Genomic DNA, 17,579 nt, shown 5'->3' with positions numbered 1-17,579 from the left:
AGCCCAGAGACCTGATAATGCATTTCACAATTCACACCATTGTCTGATGCTCAACCTTTTATTTTTTCTTTCTTCTGTTAAAACTATTGAATTGCCAGGATTTTGGTTAGGGGTGAGTAGAGAAGTTTGGAATGTTTTTAATCCTGTGTTCCATGTTCTTGGTAATATTAGAAGAGCAGCAGAGCCATGAATCTAGTCATGCTCTTGGCTAACACAGTCTACCCTGACTTAAGTGCTCCTCACATGAAAAGAGATCCAGGGCTTTAGTTGACAGTAAATACAACCTGAGCCAGTGATGTGACCTGGCTGCCAAAACAAGTAAATGTGATATGAACTGGCATTAAAAGAAGCCTGGTGGCTGGGACAAGGAAAGGAATAGTCCCAGAGTACATTCTGCAATGTTAAGATCACACCTGGAGGATGGTATTTCCTCCCAGGCTGTAAGAGTGATGTTGACAAGTTGGAGTATGCCCAAGTTGGGCAACAGGATGATGAATGGCCTAGAAACTACATCTTTTGAGGAACGGTTGGAGGATGTGGGGTAGTTACCCTGAAAACTAGAAGGCATGTGGGTGTGGGATAACTATTTTCAAACGTTCGCAGGGTTATCATGTAGAAGAGTTGGACTCTTCTGTGTAATCTCAGCAAGCACAACTTAGACCAATGGGTGTGTATTACAAAGTAGCTGATTTTGTCTCTGTAAAGGGAAGAACTTTCTAGCCCTTATGAACACCCAGAAAATAGTAGCTCTGAAAGGTAGTTACTTAACTTTATTTATTTATTTATTTATTTATTTATTATTTTTGAGATGGAGTCTTGCTCTTGTCGCCCAGGCTAAAGTGCAGTGGTGCTATCTTGGCTCACTGCATCCTTCACCTCCCGGGTTTAAGTGATTCTCCCACTTTAGCCTCCCAAGTAGCTGGCATTACGGGAGCACACCAACACACCTGGCTAATTTTTTGTATTTTTAGTAGAGACAGGGTCTCACCACGTTGGCCAGGCTGGTTTCAAGCTCCTGACCTCAAGTGATCCACCTGCCTCAGCCTCCCAAAGTGCTGAGATTACAGGCGTGAGCCACCACGCCCGGCTATTTATTTATTTATTCATTGAGACGGAGTCTCCCTCTGTCGCACAGGCTGGAGTGCAGTGGTGTGATCTCAGCTCACTGTCACCTCTGCCTCCCCAGATCAGAGGATCCTCCCACCTCAGCCTCCCAAGTAGCTGGGATTACAGGTGTGCACCACCACACCTGGCTAATTTTTGTATTTTCACTAGAGACAGGATTTCACCATGATGGCCAGGCTGGTCTGGAACTCCTGACCTCAGGTGATCCACCGGCCTTGGCCTCCCAAAGTGCTGGGATCACAGGCTAGTGACTTAACTTTAATAGAGAGTGTTAGAAAAGAGGCTGGCTAACTGAATGTCAGAAGATCCATGAATAGGAAGTTTGGAGAGATGATCCTATCCAAGATCCTTTCAGAGTCAAAGGTTCTTTTGATGAACCATAAGAAGGTGTCAGTACCTTGTTCCTCAGCTCCCATTAACAACAGAAACTGTGTGAAAATAGACTGTAAGGCAGAATGTCAAAGTTACGAAGGTAGAGGGAAATAAAGCCATAGCTGCTTTGTTTACCCTAGTGGTTATTCTGTTTCTGTGTATAAAGATTTAAGTAATGCTTTTTTCTGTTTTTGTTTTTTTTCTCCCCAAACAAGTTTTTTACTTTCAAAATTCTCTAGAGCTTTGGTGTGCTTTCTTTCTTTGGAAACTTCTGGCTCTCCTAATATGTTGTTTTCAGGGTACTGTATTTTGACAAGATCATCCTTAACCCAATATTATAAAGCAACACTTCACAGAATCGCAGTTTGTGTCTATGCGTCGAAGAACCAGCCCTGTGGAACAACTTATGTTCTTTTTTGGTGCTGGTTTTTGACACAGGGTCTTGCTGTGTTGCCCAGGCTGGAGTAGAGTGGCACAGTGATGGCTCACTGCAGCCTTGACCTTCTCCTTAACCCAATATTATAAAGCAACACTTCACAGAATCGCAGTTTGTGTCTATGTGTCGAAGAACCAGCCCTGTGGAACAACTTATGTTCTTTTTTGGTGCTGGTTTTTGACACAGGGTCTTGCTGTGTTGCCCAGGCTGGAGTAGAGTAGCACAGTGATGGCTCATTGCAGCCTTGACCTTCTGGGTTCCAGTGATTCTCCTATCTCAGCCTCTCAAGTAGCTGGAATTATAGGTGTGTGCCACCATGCCCAGCTAATTTTTAATTTTTTTTTAAGAGACGGGGCCTCCCTATGTTGCCCAGGCTGGTCTCAAACTCCTGGACTCACGTGATTCTACCGCCTCAGCCTCCCAACGTGCTGGGATTACAGGTGTGACCCACTGTGCTTGGCCACAACTGGTGTTTTGAGATCATTAATAATTAATAATGAAGTAGCATCTGGTAAAATGTGTACATTAGGATAGCTTAGCTTTTCCCAACAGTCAGTGAGGTGAGTTAGTAATCATCACTCTCATTTACCAGAAACTGGGTTTTGGAGCAGCTTGCCTACCACGATCGTGGTAGATTCTAGCTGGCACTAGAATCCAGAACTTTTGACTTCCACGCCAGTGTTCTTTCTAATACAAAAGGCTACTGTTCTTTCCTAATACTGGGTTTAGAGCCTTACTTGATCGCAGAATACAGTTTTTCCTCTTTTAACCACAGCAGTTCTCTGGAGTAGGATGGCAGGCTACTTTGGCCAAAGACTTGGCCTCTAACTTAAGTGCTGTCCCTAAGTTCATTTTTGTCTAAAGGAAGTCTCCAGCAAACGTCACTACTGATGTCTGTGCATACTTGACCACCTCCTTGAAAACAGGGACGCTAACACTTGCTCCAAAAAAAAATTCTAAGAATGTTAAGAGGGCAGTATTTGTCAAATGGAATGGATTTCACTGGGCAGTGCAGCAAAATGCTTAAGTTCTGCCGTGTTTTTTGTTTTGCGTTGTTTTTTAGAGACACAGTCGCGCTCTGTTGCCCAGGCTGGAGTGCAATGGCTGTTCGCAGGCGCGATCATAGCGCGCTGCAGCCTGGAACTCCTGCTCAAGCGATCCTCCTTGAACTTAGCCGGCCTCAGCTTCCCAAGAACCTGGGACTACAGGCGTGACACCTCGCTGGTTTACTCATTTTTCTGTTGAGGTATTATTGTGTGTTTCCTACTTTTACTATGCTATTTATACTCAACATAGTAGGTGCTGAATAAATACTAGTTAGTATCCTGGCTGGTCCAATACTCAGTAAAAACTGATCTCAGAATACGAAGCTGCTTGAGACCAGGCCCTTGCCCCAGTGTTCAGAGATCCACAGGTTGCTGTGGAGGCCAATCTGCCCAACCTGGAGTTCCAGAAAGGTCTGGGGATGTGTGTTGAGTGAGTCACAGACAGCCAAACTAAGAAAGGAGGAGGTGGTAGGGTGGGGAGGCCTTGCTGGAGAAGGAACAGGTGAGTGAATGCACAGATCTCTGAATCAGCAAACTGAATGAGTGAACCGCAAGCCGATATCGGAGTTGTCATACTTGTTGGGCTAGTCATGTAACCTCCAGGACCTCCATTTCCTTATCTGTAAAAAGAAATAAATAGTCTACTTATTTGCGATTATGTGAAGATTCAATAAGGTAATATTTGTAAGTATTCGCACTTGTACTTGGCATATCAACTGGCACAAAGTAAGCGTTCAATGTTAGCCACCGTCACCATTATGCGTTCATATATTTTATTTTTATTTTTTTGAGACGGAATCTCGCTCTGTCGCCCAGGGTAGACAGAATACAGTGGCGCAATCTCAGCTAACTGTAACCTCCTGGGTTCAAGCGATTCTCCTGCCTCAGCCTCCTGAGTAGCTGGGATCACAGGCGCGCTCCACCACGCCTGGCTAATTTTTTCGTATTTTTAGTAGAGACGGGGTTTCACCATGTTGGTCAGGCTGGTCTCGAACTCCTGACCTGATGATCCGCCCGCATCGGCCTCCCAAAATGCTGTGATTACAGGTGTGAACCACCGCGCCCGGCCTACGCTTTCATAATTTAATAATACCTTATAATAATTATGAACTGTGTCATTCCACGAATAATTTATTCCCTGGTCGTTGACTGCGAACGAGGTTGACAAGGATTCATAAACAGCCATTTCAGTCCCAAAGAGCTTTTAGACAAGGAAGCCAGGACCGGCTTCACAATCCGAGACAAGCGGCAGCGTGACGTCCCCACGTCCGCTCCCAGGGTCACGTGACCCGCAGCCCCGCCCGGACTGAGTGGGTCCCCAGCGGCTGCGACAGCAGCGTCTGCGCCTGCGCGGAGGCAAGCGCGCTCTGCGGCGCGGTCCGCTGTGGAGGCGGCGCGAACGGTCAGGGGGCGGCCGATGGCTTTGAGGGGCCCTGCGGGCTTGGGGCCCGGCTCTCGAAGGCCGTTGGACGAAGCGGTGGCAGGGGCCGAGGGCCGCGAGGCGCCGGCCCTTGTGGCGGCGGGAGGCGCGCCAGAGGACGATGAAGAGGACGATGGCCGTGGCCGGGGCCTGCTGCGCTGGGACAGCTTCTCCGCCTGGCTGCACTGCGTGTGTGTGGTGGGCTTCGACCTGGAGCTGGGCCAGGCCGTGGAGGTGAGGCCCGGCCCCGCCCTTTCTCGGCGCTCCTCCCCTGCGCCGGGGCGGCTGCAGCAAAGCCAGCGGCCCGCGGGCTGACCGGCCAGGACCCTGTCCGCGGCGCATCCGGGCGTGGCCAGTCTCCCCTCCCGCGCTCTTTCGGGCTGCGGTCCTACGGCACTTCCCGTGGGAGGATCTTGGGCTGCGGCTAGGGGTGAAAAGTTCTCTCTAGGCCCCTCCTAAATACTTGTTGATGTTCATCCTGTTCTTTCTTTATTTCTTTTAAACGCAGAGTCACAGAATTAACTAAAAGGGTTAGTAGCACCCACCCGGAGAAGCCCGCAGGCAGGATGTTTGTTTGGTACTTTTTCAAGAACAATGCCCATAACAGATGATGAACTCTAGTAGCCGAACTTGCACAACCAAGTTTTAAGGCTCAGATTGTTTTAGTCATTTGCAGTAACTGTTTGAGCGTTTCCCTCAGCCTGAGTCGAAATGCTTATCTCAGCACGCATTTTCTCCCTTTCCTCCTTTTGTGCCTCATTTCTGTTTTTTTTTTTTTTTTTTTTTGAGACGGAGTTTTTGCTCTTGTTGCTCAGGCTGGAGTGCAATGGCGCGATCTTGGCTCACCGCAACCTCTGCCTCCCGGATTCAGGCAATTCTCCTGCCTCAGCCTCCCGAGTAGCTGGGGTTACAGGCATGCGACCATGCCCGGCTAATTTTGTATTTTTAATAGAGACGGGGTTTCTCCATTTTGGTAAGGCTGGTCTCGAACTCCCGACTCAGGTGGTCTGCCCGCCTAGGCCTTCCAAAGTGGTGGGATTACATGCGTGAGCCACCGTGCCCGGCCTCATTTCTGTTATTTTTTTTTATGTTGCCTCTGGAACAGTTGGTGTGAAACTACTGTCAAGATGAATATAGGGAACATCATTTGCTTGTCAATCAGTCAACTTTTCCATTCTTATGTATGGCCCCTTACCGAAAGGCTTTAGAAACATCTATTCTTGACGTTGTTGAAGGTCTTTTTAGCATAAGGAATTGCTTGCTTTCATGTGTCCAAGGAAATTGTTATCAGAAGGGCGTTTGTTTAGACGTTTTGGTTTTGGTTTTTTTTTTTTTTTTTTTTTTTTGGTATTGGTGACAGATTTCGATTTCATTAATACTGTAGTGGCCTGGTTGACTAAGAAAATTGGCTAGGGGTAGTTTTCTTAATGCGAAGCTACTGCTTTCGTATTCGGCCTGCCTTCTGGATGTTTTATTATAACACAGTTCAGCGACATTAAGTTTCCACTAAGAACCAGGCATTATGTTAGTTGTGGAGCATACAAATAGGATGTGCTCTAATCTGTATTTGTAGATTGAGGCAATAATTTAGAGGAGAACCAAGAATTAATCATAGTAGCTGATAAGGCCAAATGCAGTGCCTGGCACCTAGTGGCATTCTATAAATACTTTTGATAGAATAGGTGAATATGTGAGCAATTCTTTATCTTATTAAAGTAAGAAAAACAGTTCCCAAAGATTTTGAGTAAGAGATTTATAAGCCATTTATTATTCACCTTGCCATGTTAACCTGAAGTTATATGTACAGCAAGATACAATTTAACCAGAAAGCATAAGAATGGGTTGTTGTAGTTGATTGTGTTTTTAAATAGCTAAAGGAGATTCTTTTGGATTCTCATTATTTGGGACATTCTTTATAACGTGAATATGTTTTTTGACCAAATAAACAGAAAATATATTTGAGATGCTGCAAAAATGTGAATTATTAAAGGACTTATTTTGAATTTCATTTTCCATAGTGTATGCCACTGTATAGAGTTTTTTCTAGGTCAGGAGTTCTTAACCTTTTGCTTCCTGGATCTTTTAAAAATATGAACATTGTGAATTTTCCACTAGGAAAAGGCTGAGTAAGATGAAATCATGTATGTGGTTCCATATATGTGGTTTCCAGCTATTTAAGACATAAACCTAGTAGGGCTTCAGAAAATGGCTAGAGTTCAGAACCAGGGAAACCTCTTGGTTTTGCTCTTTTTTTGTGTGCAGATCTTGTTTATATTTCATGTTCCCTGCAAACTGCCTTCTTCCCCTTCTCTGATTTTTTTTTTTTTTTTTAAAGACAGAGTCTAACTTTGTCAGCCAGGCTGGAGTGCAGTGGTGTAATTTCGGCTCACTGCAACCTCCACCTCCCAGGTTCAAGTGATTCTCCTGCCTCAGCCTGCCAAGTAGCTGGGACTACAGGTGCATGTCACCATGCCCAGCTAATTTTTGTTTTTTGAGAGAGAGAGTCTTGCTCTGTTGCCCAGGCTGGAGTGCAGTGGGGCAATCTCGTCTCCCTGCAAGCTCCGCCTCCCTGCAAGCTCCGCCTCCCAGGTTCACGCCATTCTCCTGCCTCAGCCTCCCAAGTTGCTGGGACTACAGGCACCCGCACCACGCCCGGCTAATTTTTTGTATTTTTAATAGAGACGGGGTTTCACCGTGTTAGCCAGGATGGTCTCGATCTCCTGACAGTGTGATCTGCCCACCTCAGCCTCCCAAAGTGCTGGGATTACAGGCATGAGCCACCGCGCCTGGCCTGCCCAGCTAATTTTGTTTTTTTTGTTTTTTTGTTTTTTTTAGTAGAGACAGGGTTTCACCATGTTGGCCAGGCTGGTCTTGAACTCCTGACCTCAAGTGATACACCTGCCTCAGCCTCCCAAAGTGCTGGGATTACAGGCGTGAGCCACCGCACCTGACTTTTTTTTTTTTTTTTCCTTAGAGACATGGTCTGCCTCAGATTGGAGTGCAGTGGCATGATCATAACTCACTACAACCTCGAACTCCTAAACTCGAGGGATCCTCCTGAGTATCTATGAATACAGACATGCACCACTACACCCGGCTATTTTTAATTTTTTTTGTGGGGACAGGGTCTTGCTATGTTGCCCAGGCTGGTCTCAAACTTGTAGCCTCAAACTGTCCTGCTGCCTCTGTCTTCCAAAGTGCTGGGATTATAGGTGTTGAGCCACCATGCCCAGCCCTTCTCTGATCTTTAAGGTGAGAAGCTAACGTTTTTAGCCACTTCAGTGAAAAAGAGTGAATCTTTAACTCACTTCCAAAGCCAGAGGAAGATAATCTGGCCTGGTTTGGGGCAGGTTCCTACTCTGATACAATTGGCTAAAGCCCTGAGTAGAAGGGGGAGTGGTTCACCTTGCATAAAATGTCTTTTAAGGCCCTGTCCTAAGTGAAGGGGGTTAAGGAGGTCTTTGAGCTAGGAAGAAACTGAACAAGGTGTTGACTGCAGGGGGTGTGCTGAGCTTCTTTTCCCCTGAAGTGGCTCTGGAGGCATTACCACAGAATCAAAGTGTCCTCTGGAACAAGGTTTGAAACCTCCTGGGTTTGATATACTGTACCTCACTTTTAGCTTTGAAATTACCAATTATTTAGTAAAGCCTTAATTATCCGAATACAGAATTACCTTATTTATTCAAGTTTTTTTTTTTTTTCTGAGTGAATAATAACATACTCATTGCTGAAAACTTGGCAAGTAAAGAAATCATAAACACTAGGCCGGGCATGGCGGCTCATGCCTGTAATTCCAGCACTTTGGGAGGCCGAGGCGGGCAGATCACGAGGTCAAGAGATCGAGACCACCCTGGCCAACACGGTGAAACCCCGTCTCTACTAAAAATACAAAAATCAGCTGGGCGCAGTGGCATACACCTGTAGTCCCAGCTACTCGGGAGGGTGAGGCAGGAGAATCGCTTGAACCTGGGAGGTGGAGGTTGCAGTAAGATCGGGCCACTGCACTCCAGCCTGGCGACACAGCAAGACTTTGTCTCAAAAAAAAAGAAAAATTATAAACACTAGAAAATATCACTCTTAATTCTACTAAGAGGCAACTGCTATTAATATTCGGCATTTTTGTTAATACTTTTTTTCTTTATATAATTTTGTATCTGTCAAGGATTAACTTGATTGTTAGGAACAGAAACCTCAAATAAACTTAAGTAAAGGGACAGTGATTGTAAGGATTCCAGGCAGTCTTTTGGAATCCAAGTGTGTGGGAAGCAAGGATGAACCTGTGGGATTTGGAAAGCCCCAGGCCTTTGTCTCTGGAGCTGTGTGTTTTTTTTTGTCTTTGGTCTTTGCATGTCTGTTCTTTTCTCCATGCTGAAGCTGGTTTGTGCTGCAGTGGCCTCAGTTTCTGCTCCCCCGTTACTCTGCTTGACTTTGGGTTTCCATGGTACTAATTTTAGCCAAACTCTTTTTCTGGAATGAGGCTGAAGCTTAATATTGGAGTATCTGATTGGCTCAGCATGGGACAGGTGTCCCATTTTGTTCACTTGTGGTTAGGAGACAAGGTTTCGCTAGCAGTAGCAGTCACTTAGGCTCACCCCTGCAATAGGAGGGACACTTCCAAAGCATAGTCTGGGCAGCAGTCTCCTAAACATGTCTACTGTGAGTCTGCTTTTATTCATAAATATTCTCATAAACAGTTTGTAAGATGATTAGACTCTTAATAAGCCGAGTGTGGTGGCTCATGCCTGTAATCCAAGCACTTTGGGAGGCTGAGGCGCGTGGATCACTTGAGGTCAGGAGTTCGAGACCGCCGTAGCCAACATGGTAAAACCCCATCTCTAATAAAAAAATACAAAAATAGGCAGCTTGGTGGCACATTCCTGTAATCCCAGCTACTCGGGAGGCTGAGGCAGGAGAATCGCTTGAACCCGGGAGGCAGAGGTTGCAGTGAACTGAGATCATACCACTGTAGTCCTGCCTGGGCAACAGAGTAAGACTTTGTCTCAAAAAAAAAACAAACCCAAAAAACAAAAAACTCTTCATAAATATAATTTTACAAAGCAGATGTTCTTTTCTTTTTTTTTTTTTTGAGGTGGTCTTACTCTGTCACCCAGGCTGGAGTGCAGTGATGCAATCATGGCTTACTGAAGCCTTGAACTCTCGGCTCAGGTGATCCTTCTGTCTCAGCTTCCCTGGTAGCTGATACTGCAGGCATATGCTTATGCACCAGGCTAATTTTTAAATTTTTTGTAGAGATGGGGTCTTGCTTTGTTGTCCAGGCTGGTCTCAAATTCCTGGCTTCAAGGGATCCTCGTGCCTCCACCTCCTAAAGTGCTAGGATTACAGACATGAGCGACCACACCTGGCTGTCATCCTATCCTTTGAAACTTTGAAGCCAGGTATTGACTTTTCTCTAGCTATGAAAGTCTTAGAGGGCATAGTCTTCCAACAGAAGGCTATTTCATCTACAATGAAAATCCGTTATTTAGTGTAGCCACCTTCATCTTTTCTCTTAGATTTTCTGGATAACTTGCTGCAGCTCTCTATCAGTCCTTGCTGCTTCACCTTGCACTTTTATGTTATGGAGACAGCTTCTTTCCTTAAACCTCATGAACCAACTCCTGCTAGCTTCCAACTTTTCTTCTGCGGATTCATCACCTCTCTCAGCCGTAACAGAATTGAAAAGAGTTGCGCTCTTGCTCTGAATTAGGCTTTGGCTTAGGGAATGTTCTAGCTGGTTTGCTCTTCTATCCAGACCACTCAGACTTTCTCCACATTAGCAGTAAGGCTGTTTCACTTTCTTATCATTGATGTGTTCACTGGAGTAGCATTTTTAATTTCCTTCAAGAACTTTTCCTTTGGCTGGGTGTGGTGTCTCAGGCCTGTATTCTCAGCGCTTTGGGAGGCTGAGGCAGGAGGATTCCTTGAGCCCAGGAGTTCAAGACCAGACTGGGCAACGTGGTGAGACCCTGTTGCATAGAAAAAAAGAAAGAAAAAAAGAACTTTTCCTTTGCATTCACAAGTTGGCTGTTTGGTCCAAGAGGCCTAGCTTTTGGCCTGTCTCAGCTTTTGACATGCTTTCCTCATTAAACTTAAATCATTTCTAGCTTTTGATTTAAAGTGAGAGATGTGTGACTCTTCCTTTTACTTGAACACTTAGAGGCCATTATAGAGTTATTCATTGCCCCAGTTGCAAATATTGTTGTGTCTTACGGAATAGGGAGGCCTGAGGAGAGGGAGAGAGATGGGGTAATGGCTCGTCAGTGGAGCTGTCAGAACACATGTATTTATTGATTAAATTTGCCATCTTATATGGGCATGGTTTGTGGTGCCCCCAAACAATTACAATAGTAACATCAAAGATAACTTATCACAGACCACTGTAACAGATACAATAGTAACAAAAAAGTTTGAAATATTGTGAGAATTACCAAAGTGTAACACAGAGACACAAAGTGAACACATTGTTGGAAAAATGATGCTGATAGACTTGCTTAATGTAGGCTTGCCACAAACCTGTAATTTGTAGAAACTGGTAACTGCAAAGCACAATAAAATGATGCACAATAAAACAAGGTATGCCTATATTAATAAAAGGAGAAGGAAGAATGGTATTGGAAGGCAACAAGCATTTACTGCCTTACCTGAGAGCAGTTATAATCTTATGTAATCAAAGATTTATTTTGAAAGATTTCTAAGCTTGGGTTTTATGATATAAACTTTAGTAACTTTGAGCTGTTTGAGAGCCAAGGGTATATGTGCCTGAAAATTCTACACCATTATGTAACTTTGAAATAAAGGATTATGTTCTGTTTTACCTGGGATATGGAAATATCTGTTAATGCTTATTGAAAATGAGGCTAAACATTTATATCTTGGTAAATTTAGGCTATTTTTGTATTATTGGGATTCTATTTATTTTGTTCTTCTTATCATAAGAATCATCTGGGGCATTTGTTACATATGAGGATTCTGGGGCTCACCCATCTGCTTAATCAGAATCAGTTCCAGAGGATCATTATGTGTAGGCATGTTTGGAGTATGTTTTTTAATTTTCTCTTTATATAAACTTTTCTGTTTTTCTTGTAAACCAGCTGTTGTCAAAATGTGGTCTGAGGACTTCTGGGCATCTCTGAGACCGTTTCAGGGGATTTATAGGATGTTTTCAAACTATGTATGGCTTTTCTTCATGTTCTTCAACCAGAACAACATATTGCAATAGAATGAACATAGAATGATTCTGCCAAGAGCAAACATTAAAGAAAAACAAATTTTTTTTTAAAAAAAAAGAATGAATGCTGAAGCAGATATGAGAATCTAGTTATTTCTGTTAAATCAGACATTAAAGATATTTGCAAACATGTAAACAATGCCATCTTAGTAAGGTTTTTGTTTTGTTTAGGAATACAGGTTGTGTGTTCCTAATCTAAACATTCAAAATCTGAGACGCTCCAAAACCTGAAACTTTCTGAGTACTGACATGATGCTTTTTAAAGGAAATGCTCATTGGAGCATTTTGGATTTCAGGTTTTTGGATTTGGGATGTCCAACTGAGTAAGTATAATTCAAATATTCTAGAATCTGAAAAGATCTGAGATCCAAAACACTTCTGATCCCACCAAGCATTTTGGATAAGGAATACTCAACCTGAATATAGTTACTTTTCATAAAAATTGAATATGTTAATGAGTAATAGGTTATTATTTTAAAATAAATAAACAATTTTTTTTAATGATACTTTTAGTTTCTACAGTGGTGAATGTTGATAGATATAACTCATATAAACAAGAATTCTAGGCTGGACGTGGTGGCTCACGCCTGTAATCCCAGCACTTTGGGAGGCAGAGGCAGGCAGATCTGCTGAGGTCAGGAGTTCGAGACTAGCTTGGCCAACGTGGTGAAACCCATCTCTACTAAAAATACAAAAAAAAAAAAAAATTAGCCAGGCATGGTGGCGCATACCTGTAATCCCAGCTACTCTGGAGGCTGAGGCAGGAGGATCACTTGAACCAGGGAGGCGGAGGTTGCAGTGAGCCGAGACTGTGCCATTGCACTCCAGGTGTGTGCCACCATGCCTGATTAAATTGTTTTATTTTTGTGTTGCCCAGTGTGATCTTGAACTCCTGGACTCAAGGGAACCTCCTGCCTCCACCTCCCAAAGTGTTGAGATCCCAGGCATGAGCCATTGTACCCAGCCTCATTTATTCCTTTCCGTCACTAATTATTAAGTAATATTTGGACTTTATTTATTTATTTGAGACAGGGTCATGCTGTGTCACCAGGCTACAGTGCACTGCAGCCTGGACCTCCCAGGCTCAAGCAATTCTCTCACCTCAGCCTGTCAAGTAGCTGGACTACAGGTGTGTACCAACATGCCTGGCTACTTTTTTGTTTTTTTGTAGAAACAGGGTTTTGCTGTGTTGCCCAGACTGGTCTTGAACTCCTGGCCTCAAGTGATCTGCCTGCCTCAGCCTCCCACAGTCCACCTGCCTTAGCCTTCCAAAGTGCTGGGATTATAGGCATGAGCCACCATGCCTGGCTTTAGACTCTTTTCTTGAAACAGAGTCTCGCTTTGTCACCCAGGCTAGAGTGCAGTGGCACGATCTCAGCTCACCGCAACCTCTGATTCCCAAGTTCCAGCGATTCTCCTGCCTCAGCCTCCTAAGTAGCTGGGATTACAGGCACGTGCCACCGCACCCAGCTAATTTTTGTATTTTTAGTAGAGACGACGGGGTTTCACCATGTTGGTCAGGCCGGTCTCAAACTCCTGACCTCGTGATCTGCCCACCTTGGCCTCCCAAGGTGCTGGGATTACAGGCATGGGCCACCGTGCCTGGCCCATAAACTCTTTTTTTTTTTTTTTTTTTGAGACGGAGTCTCACTCTGTCACCCAGGCTGGAGTGCAGTGGCACAATCTTGGCTCGCTGCAACCTCCACCTTCTGGGTTCAAGCAATTCTCTGCCTCAGCCTCCTGAGTAGCTGGGATTACAGGTGCCCACCACCACACCGGGCTAATTTTTGTATTTTTAGTAGAGATGGGGTTTCACCATCTTGGCTAGACTGGTCTTGAACTCCTGACCTTGTGATCCACCCGCTGCGGCCTCCCAAAGTGCTGAAATTACAGGCATGAGCTAAACACTTTTTAAATAAGGGAACTGGAACTTAAAGAGGTAACTTGCCCCATATCACTTGCTTAATAAGCCAGGATTTGAACCCTGGTCCTTTTGATTCTGAAGCCTAATTTCCCCCCACTATACTGTGTTGTTTACTATTTAGGGAAACTGAAGCAAAGAAGATGTGAAATGCTAGCGGTAGCTTGAACTAAAATTCTTAAATTCTTGGTAGTAATAGTTTACCTCATTTCTCAAAGTGTTCCTGTTTACATGCTAATACTCAGTGTAATAATAGTACCCAGGGCTATTTTCTGAGTTGTATGAACTGCTTTTAGCATTTTTGTGATCCTTTAGTTGGCAAAATGCTTTACCGTCCTGTGGAATGCACAGTAGATACTTGCTTCTGTTTGGACAAAAGACCAGCGTGACCTATGTCAATGACATAAAGTTGGATTTCCTGAAGGTAGGGTTTCTAACTGATAATAGTTTATAGCCATGGGCAGATGAAGTGAGATGATAATAGTTCTCATTTCTAGTGTATTGTGAGGATTAATTGATACAATACAGTGCCTGGCACAAGGAAAACACTTGATAAAGTTAGCAATTGTAATTATTTATTGAGTTTTTCTGAAATAATGAAATAATTACTCTTTTGGTCTAGTTTATTTGAATTCTATCTGTATTACTCATTTAGTGAATTCCTACCTAACCTTAAGCGTCCTTTGTAAGTAATACAGGATCAGTATGAGGGTAGCATCATTAAATTTTTGTTGGTACCTATTATAATAGGAGCACTGGGACCATTTGCATAGGCCATAATAAGTACCTAACATGCACAAAGGATTCTATTATGTTAATCAGTAGATGAAGACATGAGAATCCCTGCTCTCCAGAATTTAACTGAAGAGACAAGTAAGAGCATATAGTCGGCCAGGTGTGCTGGCTCATGCCTGTAGTCCCAGCACTTTGGGAGGCTGAGGTGGGTGGATCACTTGAGGTCAGGAGTCCGAGACCAGCCTGGCCAACATGGCGAAACTCCGTCTCTACTGAAAATACAAAAAAATTAGCCGGGCGGGATGTTGCACACCTGTAATCCCAGTTACTTGAGTGGCTGAGGCAGCAGAATCGCTTGAACTTGGGAGTTGGAGGTTGCAGTGAGCTGAGATCATGCCACTGCTCTCCAGCCTGGGTGACAAAGCCAGACTCCATCTCAAAAACAAAACAAAACAAAAAAAACCATATAGTCAGTGGTCCAGAGACTAAGTGAAAATTTCTGGTGGAAGGTGAAAATTGATTTGAACCTTAAGGGTTGCATAATTTAAAATTTCAGCTTATATAATTAAGAAATTATACACAATATTTATTGAGGAAAAATTACAAAAAGAGGCAATAGAAATCACTTATTTCCCCTGCTGGATGGAATTTGATAGGCGCATAAATGGTGAATCAGTTCTTAAGCATGAGCAAGGGAAGAAGCAGGAAAGTTCAAAGCATCTTTAGAATTAATGAATAGATCATGTACTGAAATACTATGATCTTCAAGATCTTAAGGAAAAAAGCAGTGTGTAAAGCAGTGAGAACAGAACAGAATATAATTTTTTTTTTTTTTTTTTTTTTTTTTTTTGAGACGGAGTCTCACTCTTGTTGCCCAGGCTGGAGTGCAATGGTGCAATCTTGGCTCACCAAAACCTCCGCCTGCCGGGTTCAAGCGATTCTCCTGCTTCAGCTTCCCGCAGAATATAATTTATGTTAGAAAAAGTACATACATAATTTTTCTTTGAAAGATACATAGGAAATGGTTTAACAATGGTTATTGAAGGAAGAAAACCTCAAGCTCAATGGGAGAGAGACTATGATTTTATGCCTTTTTATGGTTTGAATTATTGTGTCTATGTTTCCATTTTTAAAAATTCAGGTATTCACATATAAAATTCACACTTCTAAAGTGTATAATTCAGTGGTTTTGAGGTTTTCACAGGATGTGCAACTAACACCTCTATCTAATTGCAGGACATTTTCTTCACCCCAAAAAGAAACCACATACCCATTCCACTTTTTCCCTGGCATCTAGCAGCCACTAATAAGCTTCTGTCTGTATGCTTTTCATGGGAGTGGAATCATATACGTTCATCCATGTCATAGTATGTATATGTACTTTATTCCTTTTTATGGTTGAATAATATACCATTGTATGGATATATCACATTTTGTTTATTCATTATTTAATGAAAATTTGGATTGTTTCTTTCTTTTTTCTTTCTTTCTTTCTTTTTTTTTTTTTTTTAACAGGGTCTTGCTCTGTTGCCTAGGCTGGAGCACAATGGCATGATCATAGCTCACTGCAGCATTGACCTCCTGGGCTCAAGCAACCCTCCTGCCTCAGCCTCCTGAGTAGCTGGGACTACAAGTGCCTGCCACTATGCCTGCCTAATTTTTTTTTTTGAGGCAGAGTCTTGCTCTGTCACCCAGGCTGGAGTGCAGTGGCGTGATCTCGGCTCACTGCAAGCTCTGCCTCCTGGGTTCATGCCATTCTCCTGCCTTAGCCTCCCGAGTAGCTGGGACTACAGGTGCCCGCCACCACGCCTGGCTAATTTTTATGTTTTTAGTAGAGACGGGGTTTCACTGTGTTAGCCAGGATGGTGTCGATCTCCTGACCTCGTGATCTGCCTGCCTTAGCCTCCCAAAGTGCTGGGATTACAGGTGTGAGCCACCGTGGCCTGGCTAATTTTTAAACTTTTTTGAGGAGACAGAGTCTCACTATGTTGTCCAGGCTTGTTTTTACTTTTTGGCTATTATGAATAATGCTAATATGAAAATTTGTGTACGAGTTTTTGTGTGAACATGTGTTTTCACTTTTCTTGGATATATACCTAGCATTGAAATTGCAGGGCTATACTGTAACTCTATGTTGTAACTTCTTGAGAAACTTCCATAACTGTTTTCCACTACTGATATATGAGGGTTCTAAGGGTTCTAATTTCTCTGCATCCTTATCAACTCTTGTTATTGTCTCTCCTTTTGATTACAGCTGTCCTAGTAGGTATGAGCCATGTCTTATTGTAATTTTATTTGCATTTCCCTAATAACTAATGCTAAACAGTGTTTTTTCAGTGCTTATTGGCCATTTTCATTTTTATTTTTTGGAGAAGTATCTATTAACATTTGTGCCCATTTGAAAATTGGGTTATTTGTCTTTTTATTGTTATATTTTAAGAGTTCTTTATGTATTTTATATACTAGACCCTTATTAGTTATATTAATTGTGTCTTAGCCTGTTCAGGCTTCTCACAAAATACCACAAACTGGGCAGCTTATAAACAATATCTGTTTATTTCTCATAGCTCTGGAGGCTCACAAGTCCAAGATCAAGGTACTGGCTGATATGGGGTTTGGTGAGGGTACTCTTTCTGATTCATAGATGGCACCTTCTGGCAGTGTCTTTGCATGGTGGAGAGCTAGCTCTCGGGTCTCTTTGATAAGAGCATTAATCTCAATCATGAGGGCTCTGCCCTCACGACTTGATCGCCTCCCAAAGGTTTCACCTCCTAATACCGCTATCACCTTGGGGTTTTTGTTGTTATTGAAGCAAGGTTTTAAATTTTGATGATATCCAATTTATTTATGTTTCCTTTTGTTGTTTGTGCTTTTGGTGTCATGTCTAAGAAAACATTGCCTAATTCAAGGTTGTGAAGATGTATTACTGTTTTCTTCCAAGAGTTATATAGATTTAGCTCTTACATTTAGGCCTTTGATCCACTTTGAATTGACTATTGTATATGCTGTGAATTAGAGCTGTTATTTTTTTAAACTTTATTTTGAGATTAGGTAAGAGTTATAAAAGTAACTTACTCCACCTGAAGTTAACTTTTGTGCTTCAAAGAACATACAGTCCATTGTTCCCACTGCTGCTGCTGCTCTTCTAACAGTTCTAGTTTCTCACAAATTTCTGTCCATAATCCTGCTCAGCACCCTGTACCATCTCTATATCTCGCTTTTCCTCCCGAGCTGCTGTTAGGCTGTCTGTTGCATTTGTAATTCCTATAGTTCCTCACCAGTAGTGGCTGAGCTCC

General features: G+C 43.1%; 1 protein-coding gene and 1 long non-coding RNA gene across 6 annotated transcripts in view, besides 3 other annotated features; one reads left to right on the top strand and one right to left on the bottom strand.

The window, feature by feature from the left end:
* Positions 1-763: 763 nt before the first annotated feature.
* DENND6A-DT (DENND6A divergent transcript) lies at positions 764-4,210 on the bottom strand. The gene is made up of 2 exons (NR_135550.1): positions 4,073-4,210; positions 764-3,599 (listed from the first exon to the last, which is right to left on the bottom strand). It is a non-coding gene; the product is annotated as a DENND6A divergent transcript (long non-coding RNA).
* The window catches only part of DENND6A (DENN domain containing 6A), a 67,624-nt gene continuing 54,382 nt past the window's right edge, over positions 4,338-17,579 (top strand). For 4 of the 5 annotated variants that reach the window (XR_007095649.1, XR_245100.2, XM_006713019.4 and 1 more), the window contains exon 1: positions 4,338-4,633. Coding sequence is in view for 2 of the 5 variants with exons in the window: in XM_006713019.4 (XP_006713082.1) it covers positions 4,397-4,633 (237 nt within the window). In the remaining 3 variants the exon portion in view is untranslated. Of the gene's footprint in view, positions 4,634-15,109; positions 15,651-16,850; positions 16,880-17,579 lie in introns of those variants that run through there. The other variant, XM_047447670.1, reaches the window with a different exon arrangement.
* Positions 4,339-4,438: a silencer, noted in NCBI's record as "silent region_14483". NCBI's record gives its function as "represses an Ori minimal core promoter by ATAC-STARR-seq in GM12878 lymphoblastoid cells {active_cell/tissue: GM12878}" and the evidence as "EXISTENCE:reporter gene assay evidence [ECO:0000049][PMID:35858748]".
* Positions 4,510-5,010: an enhancer, noted in NCBI's record as "H3K27ac hESC enhancer chr3:57678132-57678632 (GRCh37/hg19 assembly coordinates)". NCBI's record gives its function as "activates a minimal SCP1, AML or CMV promoter by ChIP-STARR-seq in naive H9 embryonic stem cells {active_cell/tissue: H9 hESC(naive)}" and the evidence as "EXISTENCE:reporter gene assay evidence [ECO:0000049][PMID:30033119]".
* Positions 4,549-4,788: a silencer, noted in NCBI's record as "silent region_14482". NCBI's record gives its function as "represses an Ori minimal core promoter by ATAC-STARR-seq in GM12878 lymphoblastoid cells {active_cell/tissue: GM12878}" and the evidence as "EXISTENCE:reporter gene assay evidence [ECO:0000049][PMID:35858748]".

Source organism: Homo sapiens, chromosome 3 (genome assembly GCF_000001405.40).
Source record: "Homo sapiens chromosome 3, GRCh38.p14 Primary Assembly".
In the NCBI taxonomy this organism is placed as follows: Eukaryota; Metazoa; Chordata; class Mammalia; order Primates; family Hominidae; genus Homo; species Homo sapiens.
The sequence above is the reverse complement of the archived record's forward strand: the minus strand, read 5'-3'. Positions and strand labels throughout refer to the sequence as shown.